This window comes from Homo sapiens, chromosome 4 (assembly GCF_000001405.40).
Source record: "Homo sapiens chromosome 4, GRCh38.p14 Primary Assembly".
Lineage (NCBI taxonomy): Eukaryota > Metazoa > Chordata > Mammalia > Primates > Hominidae > Homo > Homo sapiens.
The window spans coordinates 65,350,174-65,378,017 of NC_000004.12; the positions used below are offsets into that span (position 1 = coordinate 65,350,174).

Consider the following 27,844-nt stretch of genomic DNA (forward strand, 5'->3'; position numbering starts at 1 on the left):
CTATTCCCAAAAGAATTCTTAATTGAGTTTTCATGTAATGAAAATAATGACACTGATAGGTCTGGAAGAGGAAGGATATCCCCCTAAATACTTTATTGATTAAGCTGACCACTGGAAGTCTTTGTTTGCTTGGATAAGTTACTTTCTCCCTTCAACAAAGTACAAATCCCCATGAATCACAAAGCAAAAATGTTTTAAAAAAAAAACCCTTATAATCTGAAAAGAACTTATTGTTAGACTACCAGTGGATGTAATTTTTAAAAGTTGAATTAAATATGAAAACATGCATATTACTTTGAGAATGAGAGCTATCAAATTGTATAGGGAAAAATAAACAATGACAGATCTCTATCTTCACAAGGGTTTTAGACATTGAGGATATTCAACTTGATGACACTGAACATATTTAGAATTAAGCAAATATTGTTTATCATAAGGAATTCAAACTCAAAAAGTATGACATTACAGATCACCCATAACATTCTGTTGTAGCAATATGCACAGTTTTTCACAGAAAAAATGTCAATTATATACCATATCAATACAGCAAGCAATTACTTTCATAGAAAAGAGTTTTGACTTCTGTGAAATATAACAATATGAGTTAGTGATCAATTTTCCATAGTGTAGACGTAACAGTTTTTAAATAGCTATTACAATACCTCCAGGAAATCAAAACTTTTTGAAGGAATAGCTCTTTTTTCCCTACAATGTAAATCCTTAAAAGGTGGGAGCTAGATATTTCTGTATTTATTTTACAAGTAAGGACAGTATAATGCAGAGAGCTTAAACTACCCAATAATATTATACATGTTTACTTATTCATATATATGTGTGTATACACAGACACATACATACTATATATATATATATATAACCTTTAATGTAGGAGATTCTGTATTTAACTCCTTACTTTGAAATTTAAGATGATTATTCTTACATGCTGTATCCATTCTGAAGTAAGATTTTTTATTTTTAGTATCTTCAGAAAAAATGAATTATGAAACTCAGATATTCTAAAGTTAATATTTAAATTTGCTGATACATAAAAGGAAGAATTTTTTGACTTTTGATTTTCTCTCTCCCTCTCCCCCTCATTCTCTCTCTTTCTTTTTGACTTTGTTGCAGGAATGCTCTTTTAGCTATTTCTTTCAGAATCTTTAAAAATAAATGGCTCTGGTCTAGTGTTTAGAAATGCACTCTGTTAGATCTTACCCTTGTGGTGTAGGCTGCCTCGGGATCATCTTCCAGTACCCGGGAAAGTCCAAAGTCAGACACTTTGCACACAAGGTTACTGTTGATTAAGATGTTTCTGGCAGCAAGATCTCTATGCACATAGCCCATGTCAGAAAGGTACTTCATTCCTGCAGAGATACCTCTCAGCATGCCAACAAGCTGAATCACAGTGAACTGCCCATCGTTTTTCTGTAAAGACAATGTAGAAATATTAGTCTAGCAACACCAATCACTGGGGGAAAATATGAGAGGTCTGTATTCAATCCCCCAAATTGATACTATCAGTCGCTAAAATTCATATGCAATTTCTATCTGAAGGAGATTGGAAAATGGTAGGAAGTATATGGCTAACTTGGTGACATTTATTTTTCCTCTGCTTGGTCAAAGCAGATAAAGGTTTTGAAAACCCTGGCCAAAAATCTTATGTAGTTGCCTTTTTCTGCATCATAACTCTTTTATTCTCAGTCATCAGAAGGGTTTGTTCACACTCCAACCTAGTATCTGCCTTGGGTCAACACCGTACTATTTTGATGTGATTTAAAAGAAGCTAGCTGGATAGACATATTAAGGTAAAGAAGAAATGGACAGAGGTGATAAGGGAGTTTCTGTAACAGCAGATGGGAGACGGGTGACTGAGCAGTGATCAGGTCAATGTTAGCAATTTTTGGAAGTTTGTCGTCTTTGTCAAGGGCACTGAAATTATTTCAGTTACATTAACTCATAAGGCTCAATGGATGGCTATTTTAAAATAAAGGAATGGCGTGACTCTAAGAGACTGGAGTACTTAAAGGTATGGTTAGAAAATTTGATAAAATAATTTGGCAGAGTCTGGCAGTAGGAAGAAAAATTTGACTTTTCAGTGGACCATTATCAAATTCATTGCATAGGTCCCTCTTACAATTGTTATCAATGCCATTGGGCTATCACTTTTTCCTACCAATGGTAATGAGCACTATATTAAAATTACAAACTGCCAGCCTATATGTTTAATCAGGCCTGCAAATATGTTACATTGTCTAACACAAGCTATTTACTAATAAAGTGGGTTGCCATTATTTAAAATTTAGAGATTTGCACATGAAGAAAATCTTTCCCTGAAACGCTGGTGATCTGATAATATTAGCTATTGTCAATTACCACGTGAACTCTGCTGGTGCAAGTCGTGACGGATCTTCAGGTAGATTAGGAGCACTTATAGGCTCTAACTTGACACCTTTATTAATGACTTGCCTGGGCTATTTACACGTTTTCTTGCTCTGCCTGATACACTAAGAGAAAATCGAACACTTGTAAGACCTTATTTTTTCCTTTTTTCCCTTTTTACATTTCTTTTTTAAAATTTTTCTTTTCCTCTCTTATTCCCTTCTACTTCTCTGCATTTTTTTTTTCAAATTAAGACATACTTAAATAAAACTTTAGGGGCATATAATTTGGATTTGTGTGAGTTTTCTGAAACAAACCTATGTTCATTTTGGAGTGTAATTATTGTGGCTCCATAAATTTCTGTTCTATTAAAAACTTAAGCTTTAAAGTGGCCCAAATTCAACTTCAACATCACAGCATCATCATCACAGCACAACATCACAATATATAAATAACACCTTGAATAACTAAATTATTCCCCAATCCTACCTTCAAAAATGTATCTAAAGAGCCATTCTCCATATACTCTGTCACGATCATCACTGGTTTACCTGAAAAGAAAACAGAGTGATATAACCTGCTGCTCTTCGATTTTGCATTCTTATCTGGCAAAGCTTACCCAGAAGTTTTTATTAGTGTCAAAATTGTATATATATATATATATTTAAAATATTTAAATAAAAATATTAAAAAATAAAATTTATTAAATGAAAGATATTTAAATATTTAAAAATATTTTAATATATTTAATATTTTAAAAACATTTTTAATATATTTAATATTTTAAAAACATTTTTTAAAGTATTTTAAAACTATTTAAATATTTAAATATTTAAAAATGTCCTCTTTAAGAAAGAAGATAATTCCTGATATGATGATATCTTAGTGTTATGGTTGAGTCAGTGAGAAAAATGTATCACAAGGTTAATAACAGACTGATATTTAAGATTTACACACACACACACACACACACACACACACCCTTGCCAATATCATCACTAATTTATGTAGGAAATGTGTTTAAGAATAATTCTATGAGTATTAGGATAAATTTTATTTTAATAGAAATAATGATATAATGTATCCAATAATATTCAGCGAAACACTTGGAACATATTCATCTTTCTAATTCTCACAATTCTAAATAAAAACTCCATCCTATCTAACTGCCCTGTTTATGATCCTTTGAATGTATATTGCATTTTCCTACCTTTACCTCTATGTTTTTGTAACTCCTTTCCTTATGGCTACCTGCCCTTCCTCTCTCTGCTACACACTTAAAATCTCGATTAACCCCACTTTTCTTTTCATTTTTTAAAGCTCTGTTCTAATTGTTATGTGAAAGATTTCCTTAGCAGTCATTAATTATGATGAAAATGGTTCTCCTTCTTTCATATCTGACATTGACATGTAGCCTAGAGGTCAGCTGGACAGACTCTAGAGCCATACTTCTTGGATTTTCATCCCAGAGCAATCACTTATTATTATGGATCCCGGGCAAGTCAATTCTTATCTCTGTGCCTCAGTTTTCTCATATGTAAAATGAGGATAGCAATGGCGCCTACCTCATAGGGTTGTTGCGAGTATCTGCTAAGTCATATGGTTATCCAAGGCACTTAAAATAGTTCCTATTACTCAGAATTTGCTATGCAAGGATTTAACATTTTAAAAATACATTTGATCAACTTTGTGTGTTAGCTTCCTTGCTAGATGTAAGTTGACCAAGAGAATAGATCATCTCATTCCATATAAAATTGTGACATTTCATACCTAGTATGTCTGTAATACAAGATGAAAATTGCAAGATAAAAAATTATTGCTATATGAGAAAATATCTAGAAAACAGTTGCTAGTTTTATCATTCCACATTTTCACTATATTTTAAGACACACCCCTTTACTCTTTAATAGAAACATATGACATAAAACTAGTTTTAATTTAAAATATTTTGAGTTAAGAAAACAGAGACCTATGATAATAAAATTACCATATATGTCCATTAATTAACTTTTTAATTTATGAAGAGAAACAAATACTATACAATTGTGAAATGCATTATAATTAATTTAATGGCATTCTTCAGAAGAGTGTCTGTATTTTACTGGATAATTGATTGACTCAGGTCATAGAATGACAGCTTGCATATTTACACATATCATATTATCCAGAAGTACAACTATAGATATAGAACATATGATTAATACATATGAAAAAGAAATAACTGGGAAGAAAAAAGAATGTTTTAGTCCCATATCACTTAAAACTCACCGTTTATAATAATAATATAGGACAAGTAAGTCTAATTCTCACTTAATTATCTTCTTATAAAATACTCGAGACAATATTTCTTTAAATGGAATGTGATAAGTGTATTGCAAAGGCAGCCACATTTCCTCGTCCTCTAAAGTTTATAAAAGTTGTAAAAATGTTTGTCTAAAATACTTTATTTGACACAGGTTTGTAGATGCCTATGTTAGGTGAGAGATCACATATGCAGAGAATGTGCATTTTGGATGTAATTTAATCTGCACCTTGAAGAGTGCAGGGGTCACAGGTGTAATAAAAGGTGGCCAGAGTTCCAGGAAGAGAGGTGGCACATGTCTATGCATATTGTCAAGAAAGAGCCCATGAAGTTTAAATACAGTCACAACTCTGAATTTTTTTCTCTTCTTAAATCATAAAGTTACAAGAGATGAGGTGACAAATACTGACCTTAAAACTAGATGGAAGTGAAATTTCTTAGTAGAAAAATAATTATTTAGGTTGTATTTGTAAATGGCTCAAGAACAGATCAGGAAAAAATTGATAATGAAATTTTTATCATTAGTATAATTTTAATCTACATTCATGAATAAAAAATGCTTGCAACTTAAACTTTATTTTAACTATATTGTCAGACTCTTTTTAAAGGACCTCAGGCAAACTCTAAAATAGACACAGTTCTGCTTTGGGCTCTTTTCGTCCCATTCTCACATCTCTGAGCCCATTTCAACCTTTTATATTCATCTGAAGTCCTGTTCTTTCAAGAATACAAAACTAATATACCTCTCCCAGTAGTGATAGCCCCACTGTTTGGGCACGGGTATCTATATGTCAGAATTTATACCAGCGATAATGCTGAGGTATCCTGGATCACCCTATGATATTAAGGCATTATCCCATCATTTGCCCAGTTTCAGGAATTTGAAAGAACTCAGCGAAGAAACTGTTACTCACATAAAGGGGACACATGGGCAACTCCGGCATCAGTTTTTAGAAAGATTTCAATCAATTTACAAGGAATAGAGTCAAAGGGTATGTACCTGACAAAGATCAGCCCTAATCTAACTAAAAGGAGGACTAGATTTTCTGGAATCAGCCTATAATTCCAGAAATCCTCCATGTGTGGCTCTTTTACTTGGATTCTGCCTGATTTATCCCCTCATTTACAGAAATCTATTGAGAGGGTTGTCACATTATAATAAATTGAAAGAACTGAATTCCAGCAAACATCTAGAGAATATAGTCGCAGCTTTTCCTGCTTGGCACCTCTCAGCTCATATCACATGAACAGACGCTGTGCTCCACTAATCTATGTTATCATTATCTACTTTACCCCATGTCCTTTATGTTTTCAGGGCTTTTCCTGCATTTCTACTTACAGCACTTTCAGTTTCTTTCTTCTTTCTTTTGTAGAATTTCTTCTTTCTGCCTATCTTTTTATATTTTAGGATCTCTTTTTAGAGTTATGGGTTAGTGGTAAATATGACCACTGCTCACCCAAGGTCTACTGAGTAGGATTTAGATGGAATTCTCATATAAAATTATCTCTTTCTTTGAAAATCTGTATCTTAGATTCAACCCCAAATTCATTGAGCTAAGAAGACAGAATTTATACCCTAAAGAGAATGTGCTGATCAGACAACTTATTAACACTGAATAGTATATATTTGGGGAAAAAAAGGGAGATGGGCACCTGGTATTCATCCTGTAGGATTTTTCAGCTAGTGTCATCTAATTTTAAAAGCCAGATTAATTATTTATGACAGTGTAGGTTGTGATGTGAAAAGCAAAAACATTATTTGAGAAAGATGATAAGGACCTAAAACACCTCTCATATTTCACATGATGGGGGAAAAGCAATTAAAATGAATGTTTGCAAACAAGTATGATCTTCTTTTGTTGACAAGAATAAGACACTTCAGGACCCATTCGATTATTCTTCATGCGTGAGTCATTTTAATGCTAATTACATTTAGTTTGGCTTATGTTTTGTCTCAGCAAAACATAGCCTGCTAGCCTGCAAAAATGACATAGCAATAATTAACATGGCTTACTCTAACCCTTGTAAATTCAATAAAACTGTATAAACCATATTCCATTATCCAGCTTGAAGTACAGACAAAGACTAGATCTGCCAATAATTTTGAAAGCATGTTATCAAAAATCCATATAAAAATAACTCATAAAGCATGTCAAAACATGATTTTAATCACAGGGGAGAGTTTTTATATTACTTTATATTATTTACTGAAGGCCCAGCCCAGGGAGAAGTAACAGAAATACATTATTTGAGAAATTTACCTTTATTATTGATAACCATAAAAGAGCTCAAATTTATTGAGCATCTACTCTTTATAAGGCAATGTTATGGATTTATATTATAATTCTATAACTGTGATATTATAATAGACTTTTTCAGAGAAGGCAAGTAAGGCTCAGAAAGGTTCAATATATTACTCGGGTTGTCTGGAGCAAGTTATATAAGGAGTAAAGTTGAGAATCAAATTTGTATCTCTCTGAATATTAAGGCTGTTTTCCTTTCTCCCATACTGAGATGTCTACAAATTCAAAATATTTACTTTGATTTCATTTTAAAAACTCACAAATATTCATTTTTTTGTGTTAATACAAACTTGGGAATCACAAATATGTCATAACTATTCAACCATTGATGGCAGATCTAGTTCAGGAATTTACCTTTTCTCAATAAATATTCTATTTTTATATATGCTCATTACCCACATATGATCCAAGCAGTGTATTGTGAACAATCTTGGATTACATGCATAAGAGCTACTTAAAGTAGTTAAACCCACAGAAGCAGAAAGTAGAAAGGTAGTTTCCAGGAGCTGTGGGAACAGGGAAGTGGAGGGTTGCTGTTCAATGTGTACAAAGTTACAGTATGCAAGATGAAAAAGTACTAAAGATCTGCTGTACAACAGTGTGTGTAGGGGTAATAATACTGTATTGTACACTTGAAAAAAAATTAAAGGTGTATAGCTCAAGGTGTGTGTGTATGTTTTTTCTACAATTAAAAAAATGAGTTTTTTTAACTTATTATGTGACTTTTTTGGTGCTAACGTCCATCACAAATCTCCAAAAGAGAAGAGAATATGCCGTTCCTGGTAATACAATCCTTTGCCATAAGACATCTCAAAGTTAGGTGAAACAAATTTGGGGAATGTTGATCTAGTCCTTGTTTCTCAGAATATGATATCTGACAAGCAGCATAGACATGGCCTGGGAACTTATTAGAAATGTAAAATAGCATTCCCCAATCAGATCTATTGAAACAGATTCTGCAATTTAGCAATATCCCCAGAGGCACATTAAATTTTGTGAAACACTAAACTAGGCCACATCACAAGAGTTGCTGCTAAATATAGGCTTATTATTTTTATTTGCATTCATACCATCTGCCTTTCCCAAACCATTAGCTCATCAATAAACACATGATACCACTTAAGGCTATCAGTGAACATTTCATTTAGAAGCCTCATAATTCACTGGAAAATTATTGTCACTGGATTTCTCTTAGAAATATATTTTAAGACTTGTAAATGATTAAAAGTAAGCCTCTGCTTATAGACCTATAGTATGATTTCATTATGCCATCTTATTTGCATTGTTTTCTATTTAGTATACTTATCTTTGCAGCTGTTTAAAATGTCTTTTATTCTTACCCCAAAAGAAACTTAGGATAACACAAATATGGTGAATCAATTATTAATGGATAATGGTCAACCAGAAAATAGGATCTTGTACTTGTAGTAGGAATAGGTAATGCTTATTAAAAGGGGAAAAAACAAAACAACAAAGATAAAAACAAACTATGAGACAGAACTTAGAAATGTACTCAGATATTTTAATTTTATTATGGTTCTTATTTGCTGGCTAACATGTTGGGACAAGTCCTTTGTAAAATTATATAATTTCAGATTGGGCAAATAAGATAAAATCAAAAGCTTGTATACCTCACCTGAGACAGGAGCATGGAAATGCAAAATGTCTCTATGGGTAGAAATTTCAAGCTTTCCAAAATATCCTCTTTATTTCGGAATGTTTACCTTGATATAAACCTTTTCAATAGATGTTCGTTTCTCAAATTAAAAACAAACTAGAATTGCTCTTACATTAGCGAAAGTGGTTAATACAGTAATTATGGAGTCAGAAATTATAGACTTTTCAGAAGAGATGGAGAATCTAAAAATGATCAACTCTGACAACTTGGTTGTATTAACAATGAAAATAACTTTAAAACACAGTTTCATTTACTAACTGTCAATCTGCAAGTCAGCAAATCTCTTTCTATAAACCTATATTTTTTTCAGATGATTGAGATTTAGATTCTTTCAGAGACAGCACTTGTAAATCTCTCATTTTTAGTGTACGTGTATTTATTAAAAACCTGTATCTGCCTTAAAGAAAAACAAGAACCAAATTAATGAGCTTGGTTCTGTCTCCACTTCAGTTTTAAAGTTGTTTATGTATATCATTGTTTATAACTGGTTCATATAATTTTATTTCTTCTTGTGAAGTGGAAGATATAAAATTAAAGTTTACTCATACTTCAAACATTTTTCTTTTTACTTCTTGAGACTAAAGCTAAATCCAACTTTATGCACAACATCTGTAATTGTATGCTAATAGGTATCTCCAATTTAACATGTCCACAACTGAACTACTGATTACCAAGCTTAATCTTGTTCCTCATAAGCTTTTCTCCATAAATTGCAACTCCTTTTTTGGAGGTACTCAAGACAAATAATTTATAGTTATCATTGACTCCTCACTTTTTCTCATACTTCACATCCAATTCACAAGAAGGTTTACTGTGATTGCCTTCAAAATATCTACAAAATCCAACCACTACCCTCTACCATGCTAGGTCATTATACTGACCTAATCCATAATGATCTGCGAACAATGTCAATTAGCTTCCAGTGCCTCCCTGCTTCAACACTGGGTCCTACCACCTCTTCTTAACCCAGCAGCCTTTCTGGTCCTGTTAATGTGTAAATCAAATTCTATCCCATGTTAGCTCTACGTCTTCAAAGTTCAGATTAAGAGATGGTCTTTGCAGGCACCAAAGAGTTTTTACATTGTCTATTCTCCTACTACATCGTTAATCTAAATTCTTACCAAAGACTCCTCTCAATCATTCCACTGCAGCGCCAATGGCCTTCTTGCTGTTTCTCGAACCTTCCAGGCAAGTTCCCTTAGAGCATTGCTAGTCCCTCTTCCTGTAACAGTCTGCCTCCAAATGTCTGTAAGGCCCAAAACTTTAATTTGTTCAAGCCTTATCTAAGTAAAATAGAAAACACCCACTCTCAACAGAAGCAACCCCTAATCTCCTTTCCCAGCTTGATTTTCTCCATTTAACATTATTATCTTAAGTTATTTGTTCATTTAATTTCTGTCTCCATCACCCAAAGGTAAACTCTATAAAGGCAGAAACTCAGTCGGTTTAATCTCTGCTATAGCCCCACTGATTAGTAAGAATAGGCATATATTAGGTGATCAGCTAGTATTTTTTGAATAAATGAATGTTTCTTGTCAAGCATGTACAGAATGATGAAATATGAGGTTGGTTATATTCACTGTTTAAGAGTTTGGATTTTGGAGTCAGATAGAGCTGTTTTAAAATCTGACATTATTCCCATGCTAGTTTTATGATATTGGATAAGGTATTTAACTTTTTTAATGTTAATTTTTCCCTTCTGTAAAATGAAAACAAATACTAATGTCTATAGCATAGCTTATTGTGCAGATTAAAAGAGATAACATATAAAGAAAACTAAGCTTACTAAATTCTTAATGCAATGTTAATAATTAATAGTGGTGTATGCAAGATCTGATTTTCAAACTTTCCTATTAATTTTATTATTTTTCTTAAAAGCCCATGGTTTTATATAATTAAGTTTTTAAATTTAAAACATAAACTATATCATTCTAACTAGCTTAAGATCTTTACATAGCCACAATTTATTCATTCACTATTTTAATTTCTTTCTTTTTTTTAATTACCTAATGTGTCTGGCCCTTTGCTAGACACAAAGGGGGTGACAAACCTATGCTAGTTTCAACGAGCTCATTGCATAAGAAGGGTGATAAAACATGTGCAGATTTAATTATGAAGTAACATATAGCATGACAGAGTATACAGAAATGCCACTGGTATTTAGACAATTACTTCTGACTGAGAATTCATTCATTCAACACATATATAAAGTGCTACACCTGTTGGGCTTGGATCTAGGAACACACAAGTGAGCAAAACAAAAACCTCTGCCCTTTGAAGTTCATATTTTAAAACTTGTACTCCAATGTAGAACTGGGAAGTTTTCCTTTACTCAGCTATTCAACATAATTGAAGGCCTACTTTATGCCAGGCAGGCACTCAAGATTGAAGGAAAAATGAAGATAAATGACACTGATCTCATAGAGGTCACATTTGAATTAAACCTGAAGGTCGAGTAGAGAGAAGAGAGGACATTTTAGGTCTGAGTGAAGTATCTCAAGGGGGCAGGGCAAGAATAAGGTAGAGTTTTCCAGAAAGAAAATAGTGAAATATGGAAATGTGTATCAGGTTAAGTATGAAAGTCTATGCATTTTGGTTGATTTGTTTGCTTGACTGCTGATGAAGCATGACAGGAAAGCAGTGATTTGAGGGCAATGTGTATGGAGTGGACTAAAGTGGAAAGTGACAAAATGGGAAGAGTAGTGGAAGACTGTTGGAATAATGTTAGTTAATATATAATAAGACCCTGTATAAAGAAAATGATCTTACTAGACAGACTAAGGAAATATATTTGAAAGATAATTATAAATTTACAAAGTAAGTCAAAACTGTCTAGCAGTTTAGGTAATCAATGTAGTTGGATGTTCTATCTCTGCAGATATAGAAATAAAGAGAAAGACAGAGATTCTTCTAATGCTTCTGTAGTGTTTTGTTTAAATTTATTAATTTTACAGAACTAGGCTTATTTATACATGATTCTAAATTAAGAAATAAAATTATGACTAATCCTAAGACTCAATAGATCTTCCTTTGGTCAGTTTGGATAATAATTTTCCACTGATGGTAGATGAAATCTTCAGGAACTAAGGATGCTGCAGTGAAAAAATTACAACTTTTTTTCCTTTTTATCTTCTTCCCAAATCTCATTAAATAGTAAAAGCTGGCACTATGTCTATTACACTAAAGTGTCTTGCATTTCAAATGAGTCAATTAAGCCAAGAACTGTGGGCTTTTTTTATGTCATTCGTCATGAAAGTTCTTTAGAATATATGTATCTATTTATGATGGTTGCTGTTTAACAATAAATCACAGAAGGAATTTGAATGGGGGCTCAAGCTTCTGGCATGTGATAGTGAAAAGATGAAGGCTCACGATGACACCACCCATAGGAGGGCTACTTCAGACTCCCTACCTCAACTTCAATAAGAAAAGTCACAAGATTTAGTTGCACTTATGTCTCATTATCTGTGTGCTGCTGGTTGAGAATAATTGCTGAATAAATTAGCATCAGATCAGAGAGCATGAAATTAAGGACACAAATAAAGTGAGTTGCAACATGGTAAATTAAAAACAAGTTGGAGACTTCCTAAGTTGAACATTAAGAGCTAAATTTATAAAGGAGAAATATTGTTTCAATTCATATGGAATAAAAAGTAAAAGCAAATAAATATTGTTGGTATTTACAGTTTGCTTTACATGTATGTGTAGCCTCATGCTGAACAGCATCATCCAGCAGAATATTTGATTAAGAGATCAGAAATTTAAAACTGCCTTTCTAACCACAGTAACATTTTTTAGAATAGAATTCACAGAATCTAGATATAGTCATTTGTTAATATTGACACTAGCTCCTAAAAAATGCATATACAATATATGAGAAATCTGTTTGTATTATTACAAGAAGTTGTCTTAAGTTATCTCAATCAGGATCTGTTCAAATAAACAAGTTTTGTAATAAAGGTCTGTAAAATATAATATGTTTACATAAATATTTAGGATACGATCTTTGTCTTCAAGGAACATACATTTTTTAGCTAGAGAGCTGAAAAATATAAGCAAAAGAGACAAAATTAAGTGAGATTTAAATAAGACTTTTGAACCAAATGAAGAAACGTTTTAGACTTCAAAAATTGTCATGTACGCATAGTGTTCAAAAGAAGAAATTACTTCAGGACAAAGTGGAAGGGATTGTTTCACAGAGTTGGTAGACTTTGAATAAGGTTTCAGTGAAGTTGAAAAAGTAGTGAACATGAGGGTGTACATTTCAGAGAAAGAGGCAATGAAGGCAGGGCAAAATATAAGGTACTTTAAAATGGACTAAGCATAGAATGGATATGGAGAAGTTCAGAGCATAGGAAGAAAGATAAGTGGAGAAGTAGTAACTATGTACTAAATAAGTACTTACTTTGTGCCTTGCCCATTCTAAACCTCATCTATATTAATTAGTGTCATCTTCACAATAATGCTATAAGGTATTCTCACCCCATAGCATTAATGTGGAAACTAAGGTTCTAAATGTTTATGATGTGCAAAACCACATAATTGTTTATATTCAAATTAAAATTCAATTGCATCACTAGATGCAGAGTCCATGTTCTTGACTATTATGTAACGTGGTCTTCCATGATAATAACAGTAATCTGGCATTGTTCTAAATATTACATCTTAACTCATTATGAAGGGTAGATTGGCTGCCTATGGAGTTTGCATTTACCCTGGGGTAACGGGATGTCATAGTGAGAGTTTATTTTCAGAAAGTTGAATTTGGTAGCCATGTGAATAAGGTGATGGAGACAGAAATTATCAAATATTTGCTTACTATTATTACTGGTACCATCATTAAGAACTATGTTTTATATTAGATAATACCATTTCTGCATAGCAAATAATTTTACTGAATTTTTGTTGTTATCATTCTTGCTTCTACGGTATCTATCGACACTTGCTATCACAGACGTTCTTTCAAGGTCCTTCCCCTCAGATAGAATACAGCCACGTTCAAATTCTGATTTTATTTTATTGCATCTGTGACCATATTTTTATATTATATTGTTATTTCACATATTTCCACACATCCATTAAAGAATATCCTCATTATAAAATATTTTTGTTTTATTCCATTAAAAAAATGCTGTTTCCTCTGCCTGCCTCTTGATCCTGCCTCTTGCCTTTCTTTAGCAATTTACACTTTTCTAATAAGACCTCAGGATTGCCTTCTTGCTCCAGAAATGCCGTGTCTGGGTTGCTATCAAGTAAAGAATAATGTGTGGGTATATACTCAACTGGAGGAAGAAACACATCTAAGATTTGAAGAAACCCACGTATGTAGTTTATTTTATTCTTTTCCTACATTCCTCTCTGAGCATGCTTCCTGGAGATGTATATCTCTTTAAGATATGGATTTCGGTAACTTATGTGTGTGGTGTAAGGAATAAAGGAAGGAATCAGAACACATAGAAACAGTAAAGAAACAATGAATACAAAGAAAATGAAGGCCTCAGCTATGTGCCACAAAAATACATTACTTGTTGACTGAAAATGATTTAAAATCCTTGTATTGCAAGGCTCACCATGCTAACACATTTACAAAACATTAACACAAATTAAAAGAGATGTAAAATTCTAGATATTTTTGAGAAAGAAAAACTAGATTTGCTTTCACAACAACAAAAATTCATTAAAAGGAACTTTTCCTGTCTTCTGTGATTGTTGCTTTCCCTTGAACTATTAACATATCTTTAAAAAATGAATAAACAAAATGAACCTGGCCATAAAGAACTGCTTAAAAGGTGGCATTGCTATGGTTATAGTAATCCTATTGAATGTTAAACTTCAATGCTTCAATCAAAACTTTGAAGTTAATATTTCATTAGGATAAAAAGTAAAAGAGCCAATAGTTAAAAAAAAAGTTGATATATTTACTGCTTCTTTTATCTGGATACATTTTTGTCTGACATTGAATTCATAGCAAATGGGTTAAAATATATATTTTAAAAGATAGATGAAAATTCAAGTTCATTGAAGATTAGCTTTAACAAAAATCTACTAAAATACAGGATAAACATTAATATTAGAGAAATTAATATATTACAATCTTGGTTTCTCTTTACCCTAAATTAATAATAATCTAGACAGATATTGAGGATATGCACACACATGTATAATTTGCCATCATACTTACTTTTGGTCACCACACCTTCTAAATGGATGATGTTAGGATGATCAAACTGTCCCATGATACTTGCTTCACCTAGGAAATCTCTGCGTTGCTTTTCAGTATAGCCTACTTTAAGGGTTTTGATAGCCACAGGTAATTCTCTTTTTCCTGGTAGTTTCAAACGTCCACTACAAACTTCACCAAATTCACCTTGTGATAAAGATGAAAAAAATGCAAAAACTCATTTGAAATTGTTAGTCTATTAACACTTGTATGCCCTCTTAGACTACTAAGGCTTAGATGAAAAAACAAACAAACAAACAAACAAACAAACAAACAAAAAGCAGTCAGAAAAGGGTAGTCTACACTACATTATTGATAGTAATGAAAATAAATAGTACATTGGAACAAATCATAACAGAGGATCATAAAACACTATAGGGGCTATTAACTTCCTCTATCTCACTTACAAAAACCTTTTAAAAAAGAATGAAATTAAAAGTAACTAATGAAAAATCACTTTTTCTTCTTTTTCTGTCTACCGTAGTAGTAATAAGAAGAGAAAAGCCAACCAGGTTATAGCTAGAAAAAAAGGAAACAATTTTAAGGCAGATATGAACTGAATTACATAAATACTTTTGGGTATTACAAATTCACTATATATATATATATATATATATATATATATATATATATAGTGAAACATTATCTATTTAAAATATATTTTTTGCTGTTTTTAAATTTTATAAACCAGATATTTGCTGGTTTAAGCTTGAGTTACACTGAAGGTTGTATTAAAATGTGATCAGTTACATATCACTTTGAATGCAAGCCAATTAGAAAAGATTAAAAACATTCTCTGTTACATCAGGACACTGGTATATTACATTCTGGAATGCAAACAAAAGTTAAAAATGAAAGTCAAACACATTGTCGTACCTGCTCCAATAACTCTCTCAATGGTGATACATGATGCTTCTATCTCCTTAGCAAATTCGTGGACAGCTTGATTGGGATCCTCATAGGTATGTGGATCAATGTAAGTTCTTACTCCTGGCAGTTTAACTGTAAATATAAATTGGCATTAAAACAGAAGTAGTTGTGATGGATGAGCAAAATTATGAACTTTATTAACATGCAAGTATGGCTTAAATCTCTAATTCCTGGAAGTATTCAAACTGCAAGGACCAGCCCTCTCCTGAGTTACAGTTGTTTGTACAACTATATCAGTTTTATAATTTCAGAAATCTGTTTGCAGGCACAAGAAATGCATATGTGATGACATATCTGAGAAAATACACCTCTCAATCATAATACTTAGAAAGTCTCCAAGGCAAATTAAGACAATGTTATTCACCGAACTGGACAATGCAATACTAGTGCTTAATTTGCTGGTTTATTATTCTATATTTCATATGGATGATATTCGATATAATCCCATTAGTATTAATTTTAATTTTATGCAAAATGATTTCAAGTAACTTTTCTGGTGCTATGGTGCAAAAAGGCTGACATATAAGTCAAAAGAAAGTATTCTGCTTCTCACTGTACTTCTGTCACTGCATGACATTAGACAAGACTTACGCTCTGTGAGTTTCAGTTTTATCACATTTAACGGCTACTAACACTGCCTCATCAAGTTTTTTGGGAATAAATAATATTAAATAAGATACGATTAGGAAATGAACTCAATGCTTTGCAGCATGAGTTATGGCTTTAATGATTTTGACATTTAAGATGGCGGAGTGAAAAAAACAAATATATTTGTCACTCACTTGGCAAATCAATTCACATTGCACCATTTAAGGAAAAATAATAAAATATCAAAATTCAACTCATTTAGGCTAGTTGTTCAAATTCTTTATTAAAACATGATTTTCTGCATTATTTTTTAAAGCAAGGTCTTTTTAAGTCATTTGAACCAAGATTGCTGCCACAGGACCTGTTCAGGTAAATTCCCACTAAAAGCTAGAAGAAAAAAAAAACCTGAGAAATTTTATTTATTTAACCTGGTGATGCTACTTATTGATAGATTTCTACTCATTGTGTTGCTAGGAATTAGAATATTCCAGGAAATTTTATTTGAAATATAATAGTTCTTTATATTAAGCAAAAAGTTTTTATTTTGATTATAACAAAAGTATTATTTAAATAATTGAATAAAGCATTCAGCTATTGCCTAAAGCCTTCCAGAAATACCCAAGCCCGTATTCTTTACAGGAATGTAACAAATAGAACACTTTTAAAAAAAAAAAAAACAATATTTTGGTCAGTTATTATAAATCTTGTAGCCTGAAAAGAAACTTAAATAACAATAAAGTGTCCCCTATTTTATTCTATTTTTATTTTTTACAATTTGCTTACTGTGCCCATTATGAAAATGCATCTTTTCCTCTTCTGGATCTTGTTTTGCTTTGCTGTAGCCACACCGCCTGGAACAAAGTAAGCTAGAATTAGCCACATCTGAAAGTGGTGAATCAGTCACATCAAGCCCAGAAGCATGAAGCACAACTGAAATTATTGCAACCCTAAACTGATTTTCATACTAGTAGTTTGGAATGATGCCAATACTAGTAGTTTGGATGAGACCTATGTCCCTAACCAGTGTTTCTCACTCAGCAAATAATCTTGCCCAGATTTCACTGAGGAGCCTGAAGCCATCCAAACCTGTTTTTAAACTTCCCCTCACCAAATACTGTATACCAGACATTGTTGTTCTCTTTTCCTCTTTTACTTTATTTTATTTTTATTTTTTGGCAGTTCAAAAGCCACTGCCTCTTTCTGAATGAACTGCCCAAAAATGTGTGTCTGATCTAATAGTTTCTTGCCTTCATCACCCTGCACAATAGATTTTTGATTTTTGTTTTTCTCTCTACTGTTTTGGAATCCTCAGTTGCTCCACTGGCTGTTTTCCACTCACATCCACCCAGAAAACTATGAAATTCACCACAACTTGCAAAGCCTCTCAGCTTCACTTTTCAAACCTTTGTCTCTCTTCGTTTTCTCAATAATCCACAAATTTGCAAGTTTTTGCAAATTTCTCTTATTACTAGGAAAAAAAATCTGTCCTCCTAAGATTCACAAATGACATCTTAACCTCTAAATACAATCTTAGTTTTTCATTATTCTTGATGGATTGAAATCCCTCACTACTTTTCTGATGCTTTTTGCTCTTCTCCACATTGATGTATGGACATTTTCATAGGTCCTCCACGTGAACCTCTCTGGTTCTCTCCTCTCAATCCATCTATTTCTATCCGTTTAATTAATACTTCTATCTCACTGGTTTAATTTATTTTGAGAGTTATGTTCTTATTCCTGGTAGATTTATTTTATAGGGGTATTCCACCAACATTCAAACTCAATGGACCTGAAAATGAAATCAGTGCATTTTTCTTTACTTCTTTCAACCATAGTCTGCCTTCTTTTCCTGTTAATAACTCCAGTATGGCCTTGGTCCCTTAAAAGCAAAGACTTATTCTTGTGTCCTTCACAACAAACTAGTGCCAAATCCCAGGAACTACGACCCATCTCTTTCTTTTCATTAACTCTAACATTTCCTCAATTAAGTCCTTAACATTTTTCCTCCACATTACTATAAGTGCCTTCAAAATGATGCTCCTCCACTCTGTAACTCCTTTCCTAAACTCTACTAGACATGGCTATAGCCAAATTACAGTATATAAGATGCTTTTCTATTGCATTACCTATCTACTGCAAAATATTTAATGAAATAATAATATAAAGATTCCTAAATGTAGCCCTAACACACATTTCCTGCATCAACTCCAACTGTTCATCTTCACATGTACTAAATTTTCTCCTGAAATCTCCAGGATATTTCTCCATGCTTCCATAGGTTTGCACATATTGGTTCCTTCACTGAGGATTTTCTTCCTAACAATTTCCAACTGTCAAAGTTCAGTTCCATTTTTTCCTTCTTCACGTTTTTCCCAATACTTAAACTTAATGTAGTATTTTCCCTTTGGAGCACAGTAGCTTTCTGCATCCCCTCATGTGATTTCTAGTCTATGCTGCAGCATAGTCATTTGAGTGCGCTTGTTGGCTTCCTTACTGCTTTTTAGCTTATTGAATGGCAACAAATTTTATTCATCTATAAATCCTTGCAGTGACCTGGCACCTGACTCAGAGTTGGCACTAAAAATATTCGTCACATTGATGAATGAATAAATGAATGAGAGAAAGATGTTTTGATTATGTCTACACAATGACAGGTGTTTGGAGAGGGAATGTGCTGAATGAACACTGAATTGATGATTAAGTGTACAACATTAAACAACTGGCTAAAATGAAAATATTTAAATTATTTTTAGTGAAACTCTAAAGAAGTGATTTTACTATTCATAAGCTCTCAGCACAAAATTCAGTTTACTAAAAACAAAATTTCCATTGATTTATGCATTAAGAAAAGACAGCCAAATGACAGACTGATAAAATATTTTCATTACAAAATTGGTTGAGAACTACCGTGTGACGTAAATGAAGTTTCTATTACACATGTACTAACAGAGACTTTTCATTACATATTCTAGGATATATTTAAAATATATGTATATTTTGATATTAAGGGAATATATTTTGTTGTCATTTTACAATGTGTAACTACATATATATTACAAAAATGGCCAACCCAATCCATCTTTCATCATTTTTGGAAAAAATACAGTTATCTGGCTGGGCGTGGTGGCTCACGCTTGTAATCCCAGCACTTTGGGAATCTGAGGTGGGCAGATCCACGAGGTCAGGAGTTTGAAACCAGCCTGGCCAACACAGTGAAACCCAGTATCTACTAAAAATACAAAAATTAGCTAGGCATGGTGGCAGGCACCTGTAATCCCAGCTGCTTGGGAGGCTGAGGCAGAAGAATCGCTTGAATCCAGGAGCCGGAGGTTGCAGTGAGCCAAGATCTTGCCACTGCACTCCAGCCTCGGCCACAGAGCTAGACTCCATCTCAACAACAACAACAACAAAATACAGTTATCTTTATCATATTAAGAAACTGGCAATGTATTAGTAAAGTAACACTAGTAAATTTTCAGTAAACTTGAAGTAATATTCCTAACACATATAATGTTCTTGGGTGAGGAAAAATACACAACAGGGATCTCATGGCTTCAAATTTTATTCATAACACTTAGATACATATGTCATTCCAGGGTCCTTAAGACATCTTAAATCACCTCACCAAAATGAAAAGGAGGGAAGAAACAAATACATTAAACCATACTGAAATTGTATTTTGTCTTTCAAGCTAAGTTTTAAGTTATTTTAATACATTGCTCATAATTTTGCTAGATATAAAATTATTCTTTTAGCCTTTAATATATGTGCCTCTAGAGAGAACAGTTATTAATGTTTCTCTTTAATAATATTCTAAATACAATTGTGTAAAATTATCCAGAGATTTATGTTATTTAAATAATACTGACAAAAACAACTTTGTTAGACGAATTCTACAGAGACCTGAAAGCTATACATGTTCTCACAATTTACGTTAGAAAACAAACATCTATTCATCCACCTTCAACTCTCCCACCTTCAAAAAAATAAATAATACGCTTTCAAAATTGTATCCTCAAATAGCCTTTATCATTAAATAAGCCTCACGGATATTTAAATTACATGAAATTTCCTGGTATGAAAATGAAAACAAAACTTTGGATCTCATAAGAAAATGACTTGGAAATACCTTGGTGAGGAGCAGTTAACATTGCATTACCTAGGGTGAGAGTCAGGAGGGCAATTGAAAGGAGTTATTTTTGACTATGGGCATCTCTGGAGCTCCATAACATATACGGCTGCATATCACATTAACGTATGGAATTAAGTTCTGGAACCTCCCGAAGCATCATTAAAACAAGCCTCAACAAGAAACAGCAAGTAAAAGTGCAGCTAGCAGAGACTGGTACTCAGGCAGCATTCAGTCTCACTGAAAAAGCATTTCAGGAAGCCTGTTCATTCAGTATCATGTTCTGTACCTGCTCCAGATGCATAATTTTAACCAATCAGAAAAACAGTCAATAAATATGTCATTCTGTATGTAAATTTTGCCTCTCATTTTCTGGAAATGATGTCTTTTTTTTCTGAATGGAAAATAAACTATTTTTTTAAATTTTGTTTCATATCACGATTTTAATGAACTTTGAAATTATTTTACTAAAAACATCTGTAGTGTCTGTATTTAGAGGAATCACATCCTCTAATCATTTATACTCATGTCCTTTTGGAAAACAATGTGCTTTTGCTCTTTAGTAATAGAGATGGGCAGGAGAAATTATTCATAGGCATAACTCATATTCATTAATTAATATTTATTTAAAAGTCCTAGAGAGAGATGCTAGATATATAAATATACCAATGACCTTATGGCTTATTTAGAAATCAACCCATTTTCTCCCATGCTTTTTCTAAGGATTTGGATAATACATTTCTGATACTATTAATGCTGATCTTAAAAATTTGGTTGCAGTTATAATAACAAATTTGGATATTTAAGAATTTCATAATACATGAAATAAAAAATATTTATGTAGAGATGGACAGCCAACGAATAACTTAGTTCTTGAGTATAAATTTGGGACTTGATAATGAATTTGGGATATGAATGTCAAGAATTTCAGAGTACCAAGTAATGTACACAAGCAGTACTTTATAAATGGCACTCTTGTGACCAATGAGGAAAGGTAAGTGAATAGAATAGCCAAAACAGAGTGTAAATCCTTGCAAAACAATAGCCTCCATACTATCAGATCTTTCCATTGCTTTAGTCTATAGAAATATACCCTAAATAATTTTTTTCACCTTAATCTAAATAACGTACAGTGGATCACAATAGGGGAAGAAGTGGTTTTGCACTTAATTTACTCAAAAGAGTGAGCATATGCAGTGTCTAGCTCAGAAATGGATACTCCTGTATTGTTTCTCTATTTTCCAGATTGATTAAGAGACGCTTTTCCTATATATTGAAGCAAAAATATTCAAAAAGCAACAAATTACAGTGAACATTAATATCTATATGAGATGAGAAAAAATAAACACTCTTAATTTAGCCTCGTTTAAAGCCACATTTCTTCACATATGCACACTCACGTGTTCTGACATAACAAGGACCTCAACCATTGCATAATGTTGTATATAAATGACAGTATATAAAGAATTTTATATACTGCTGGAAACTTGAAAGGAATAATACTGTTTTTTAGAAAGTACTTTGAATTTTTCACTTCGGGATTTTCTCCAACTAGACAAAGATAGGATTAACAAAAGCTCAGCTAACTTATCCTCATAAAATAAATAAGCATATGAACATTAAGTTATTAACATATCTAATAAAAACTGAACATTGATTAAATTTTGTTTTATGAGCCAGTATTCTTCAATAAGAATGCACATGAATAGTACTAAAATGGGGCATTGGATATTTAGGCAGTCTTGCTAGCAAAACTGTGTGAGTCATTTATATTTTCCTCATTTATAATACCAGAATATTTGCATTTTGGGTTCTTCATAGATAGATTTAAGTTAGACAAAAAGGGCAACTAATCTATTTTTACTTACTAAATATTTTCAGATATACTGATTAAGAGGAATTTAGTTATTTAGAAAAACGTACTTCATTGAATATGGGAATGATGTAAGATTATACCACACAAAATGAGAAAACAATTTTCTGAGTTCTTATCTCACATTTGATCAAGGGTGCTAACAACCCTATGATTAATGCCATGTGAGAAGCTAAATTATATCTTACTTGATGTTTTATATATCACTTTGTATCTTCATATTCTATAAAACAAAGAATTTTAAAACTCTTAGAATAAATCTCCCAAAATATTATACACATGAAATGGCAAATCTCTTACTAATAAATTCTTCAAATCCTTTTAGAATAGCTATAATAGGAAAACCTGAACAATTTCAAATTCTTCAAAATATGCAAAGATAAATTATACACTATTTTCTCTGTTGAATTCAATTGTAATTGACAGAATTTTGATATAACACTATCTTTAATAAAGTGTGACCTATGAAAATTAATTCTCCCTGTTTTTTAAAAGTTTTATTCTAATGCTAGAGTACGTAACTTCCTATTAATTTTTAACTGTTTCATGGATGCCACTATTGGATTTCTCAATCTGAGGAGGCCCAGTTAATATCTCCTGTAGTCTGAAGCTTCATAGTTATTTTTAAAAATAGATAGTTTGGAGCAGTTCGTGATTATATTTTGCTTAGCAAGCCTTCCATTGAAATTTAATATACTCTATATACATGTCAAACAACACCCCCATCTGCCTACCACAAAGCACTTTAAATGGAGTTCTAGAATTATTACAAAGGGATGGCTTTATTCTTTATGCCACTTTCGTGCTGTATAAAAGGGAAGAGTACTTCCACACTCCCCCCGGCAGATATCTTATAAAGATGAATAAAATAATTAATGTAAAGTGTGTATGAAAATAAAAATCTTCTCATTTCACATTTCAAGAAACAGAATTAATATAGAGAAAGGAAAATATATTTAAAAATTAGGATAATAGTTAATGTTTCAAAGACATCCTGATCCTTTGGCCAGAGAAATTTGTTTTGTTCGGATTTTGTTTTTAATTTCTGCATTGTATGTCTGAATTATGAGATACACTAGACTTCATTTATTATGTCTCTGATTTAAAATATTTTTGAAATTAAAAAAGTCTTTAAAAATGAAGTTTATTATCTACAGATCACATAATAGGTAAATGCATAAAATAAGAATTTAACATCTCTATTTTCAAAATAGTGACTGCTTTTCCCTTGCCATTTAAATCCCTCAGAGGATGGAGTAAATAATATGAAGACACTGAAAAGCATGAAACCTAATGAATGAAGAAAATAATCTGACTAATTTGAATTTAAGAAATGCAAGAAATGGCTACTTTGGGACTAAGGGATATTTTAGATGGATTTATAATAAGTATTATGCTATAAATATACATTGGTTTCTGTAAGCACAAACACAGATGAATATTTGAGGATAAAGGGTAACATTAGAAAGTAGAGACATTATTACATTAAAACCATCAATTCAAAATTGGTTGTTTGTAAAAATAGATTGTCTTTTTGAGAAGTAAAACTATGATTAGAACGTTAAGTTGGTTGAGATGACAATAAAGGCAACGGCAACTTAAACAATACCTTTGCTAAAAATGTGGGCAGCCTTGGGGATATGGTGCTTAAACTTTAGGCGTCTGAGTTTCATTCAGAAATAGTACAGAAATAGCTTTTATCACTGGGTAGATTTCAGTCAAAGCAGGGAGAACATTTGGAATATTAACATTATGTTTATGAATGTCACAACAAAGCAAGCAGGCAACTATACTGATGAAAATAATTTGAGATAAAAGGATTTAAAAAGGCAACATGTAATTACAAATATCATCTTATAAATGGCACACCATGTATTTTTAAACTGATGGATGTGGTTTCCTGGTGGGAAACATGAAAGATCAAAAATTAGAATCGCAGAGCCTTGCAAAAGTGTCAGCACATTGGAATTGCTGAGCCAAGAATCTAGATGAACGGTTTTGAAACAACGTTCTTCGGAACGCTAAATTTCCACAAGTTATCTCAGGGTATTTCTAAGAGTTAATGCATTTACAATGGCCAGTTTTAATGTATATGTATCATATTATATTAAGGTCAAAACTAACCACATATATATTCATGAGTGATCTTTCAAGACACGAAAAACAATGGAATTCTAAGATTAAGAATGTCTACAAATTTCTGTTCTAAAACTGTAAATGTGTCTCTTCACAAATGATGATGATAGAATGTTTTTGAAAATTATTGACATGGTGATTGGAAATGCTGGTATGATGAGACATGCAAAATTAGATGACGGGATTTCAGATTTCTTAGTATTTTACTGACTCTCCTAGATAAATGATTCTTCTCAGCTCTTAATATTTATTAATAAGATTATTTTCTTCCTAATGCTTTAATCTAAACAAATGTCATCCTTAATAGAAAATTTGTAGTAATTTGAAATTATAAAATGAAACTTCACAAAATATAGCAATAAAGCATTTTTAGTCCTGATTCCTACCCAGTAAAAATTTTGGAGAACTTTTTTATTGTTTATATAAGCTCAGTTAAAGTTTGTTTCTTTGGCTTTAATTTGTTTTATTTTACCAAGAATATATTTTTTAATATTTCCAGCTTTTCCAGGGGGTCTTTCCATGAAGACTGGTAGCATTTTACTGAGTGCCTAAATGCATTTGTGGCTAAATCTTTTTTATTTTTTTTTCACAAACACACACACAGGCAAATACACATGCACATATACAAACAAACTCATTGCCTTCACAATTTCTAACATTATTGGAAGAAAGATATTGTCATCTTCAGTTTACTGGTGTGTTCTTTATAAAATAAGAATTCTGCCCTTCTATTTTCCTTCTTTTATTCTATTCGTTTTATAAACCACCTGAAGCCAAAAGTACAGTAGAAAAAGATACTATCTTTTTAAATCAAGAATTTCAATCTGGCCAAAGCTAGCCTTTTCCAATACTTTCAAAGCCATAGACTCATAAATGTTCACACTTCCATTGAAGCATTTTTGAGATGTAGTTCAAGGTAAGGCATCAATATCAATGTTCTTTTCTAAGTTGTAGATTCTGCTTATTCTGCTTCAGAGATAATTTATCTATGTTAAAAACTATAATTGACACTAAAGTAGAATAGACAATTCAATGACCATTTTTAGTTTTTCATAGCACAGAAACACACACACATACACACACACACACACACACACACACACTGTAAAGCCAAACTTTATACTATAGCTTTTACCAGATTTTAGTTTGTATTTAGTTTGACACTGAAGCCCCATGCTCATAAGAATTTCCCATGTAAGTTATTTGGAACAAATCTTTACCTTCATATTAAACTTTAAAACTTTCTCCAAATTCAAAATTTTTAAGAAATTGACAAAATATTTCTAAATTACATCATCCTGTGTTTGTTCACTCTCTCTTCTTCTCAGATCATTGGCATCCATTCCACAACTTCTCCCATTTGCACATCTGTATACACTCATTCACACATAATTTTTTAAGCAACAAAAATTACTTTACACCTAGAGAATACATCTAACAATTTAAAAAGCCCCTAGGAAACTCTATAGTCCTCTAACATGCATTAGAAATCTTTTCTTGGCAAATTCTGACTACAAATGACACTGGGTACAATAGTGCAAGGATTTAGGCTATTGAGTCTAGGAAGAAATTATCTGGAGTATTTCACTTTTCACAAAGTAGCTCCCATTGTGTAGGAGTTCCAATACATCTGTGAATAATCGTAACCCCAGATGTATATTTAGGATTTGTATTTATAAATAATTAAGAGTATGCCATTTGGGCACTGACTGAAAAATGTGCATATTTTCTACTTCATTGGCATCAAAGTGAGAATATCACTTCTGATATCTGTCATAATTCAAGCTTAATGAAATTAGGTAAACCATTTGAAATTACATGTGGCTTTGTTTTCCAGTGCCACGTGTATTCACAATGATATGACAATAGAAGATCCAAGTTATATTGTGGTCATTCCATGGTTTTGGGAAACAGAAAAGGTGATTTTGCCTTGACAGAAGTAGCATTCTACTTCCACGTGTGACATGATTTTTACTTCATGGAACAACAAAAATGGTGACATGTTAAAGTTAGAACATATAACTATAATCTCGTAACTCCCTAGTTTAAATCAGGACCACAGTAAAAGCCTCAGAAGAGACGTATGAATGCTTGACATAGGGATGATGTGCCATATGTATAATATTTATTTGAAATAATCCATTGTGAAATCACTTGTTAGGATTCACCTTGGGGAGCCAGTTTTATTCTACTCAAATGTACACAAATGGAGAAAGAAAAGGAATGCCGACGGTAATACATATAGGTGGACATCACATAGGAGTGAAAGTGGGAGGGAACACTAACCATATTAGGCTTGGATGGGCAACAGCGCACAGGGAAGAAGCCCTCCCACAGCCACATTCGCAGCAACTGAAAAGCAAACAAGAGAGCCCAAGATAAGGAAGAGATCCCACTCCCTCAAATATAGCATAAAGACACTATGAATTTACTCAGGTGTCTGCTTTCCTTTTCAAAATCAAAAACCTCTAAATGCATACAATTAATTTTTTTCCACAGTGCCTTTCAAATTAAGAAGCATTTTATGGATTTAAGAAATATAGAGTTGTAGTAAATTGTTATTTTTATTTTGCTTAAAGTGGTTATCCAGTAGGAAATGTCATGAGCCAATATATTCGAATTAATTGTATGCAATTCATATAGACATATAAATAAAGATGTAAGCCCATTCTAATATATCTCTCCTCAGAAATTCCCTCAAAATTTACATCAGAAGAAATCCTAAATAGCCCTTTAAATACATGTTTTGCACATAGCCTACAACCTTGGAAAGAGTATAAAGACTTTCTCATGTGACCCACCAATTTCTTATGCCTGTGGTATTACTTATCATAGCCTATTGAAAATGTTAGGCATACATAACTCCCCAGATCATTTATTGAAGCCTACCAATTTAATTTTACATTTCCAGATTTAAAAACAGTATCTCCAAATATATATTTTCAGAGCAGTTGCTATATAAAAAAGCAAACTATACAGAATACATGCATTTTTCCAGATATTGCAACACTCAAGATTCTTTTAATTTGTCCACATATTCATAGTAATAAATCCAGGAAATACAAAGTAAACTATTTTATAAAATGCACTTTATTGATAGAAAACATGTAAACTGGTGGCAGAATAAAAGACATAAGTTATTTAGTGCTTCAATGCATTCAATTCTATGTATTTTTTAAATGAGTAGCATTCACAGTGATCTCAACAGAACTATAATGTGAGCTCAGTAGAGATAGGATATACCAGCAGGTCCAGGCTTTCATTTAAAATCTGTTTTGAACTTTCATTTCTAGAAATGTATCTATT

At 32.2% G+C, this 27,844-nt stretch overlaps 1 protein-coding gene across 13 annotated transcripts in view; it reads right to left on the minus strand.

The window, feature by feature from the left end:
- The window catches only part of EPHA5 (EPH receptor A5), a 350,923-nt gene that overhangs the window by 30,607 nt on the left and 292,472 nt on the right, over positions 1-27,844 (minus strand). For 7 of the 13 annotated variants that reach the window (NM_001437320.1, NM_001437313.1, XM_011531735.4 and 4 more), the window contains 6 exons: positions 26,825-26,890; positions 17,184-17,251; positions 15,759-15,884; positions 14,844-15,029; positions 2,869-2,930; positions 1,216-1,425 (listed from right to left, as the gene is read on the minus strand). In NM_001437320.1, coding sequence (NP_001424249.1) covers positions 1,216-1,425; positions 2,869-2,930; positions 14,844-15,029; positions 15,759-15,884; positions 17,184-17,251; positions 26,825-26,890 — 718 coding nt within the window. The remainder of the gene's footprint in view (positions 1-1,215; positions 1,426-2,868; positions 2,931-14,843; positions 15,030-15,758; positions 15,885-17,183; positions 17,252-26,824; positions 26,891-27,844) is intronic. The other 6 variants (NM_001437321.1, NM_001437319.1, XM_017007878.3 and 3 more) reach the window with 1 other exon arrangement.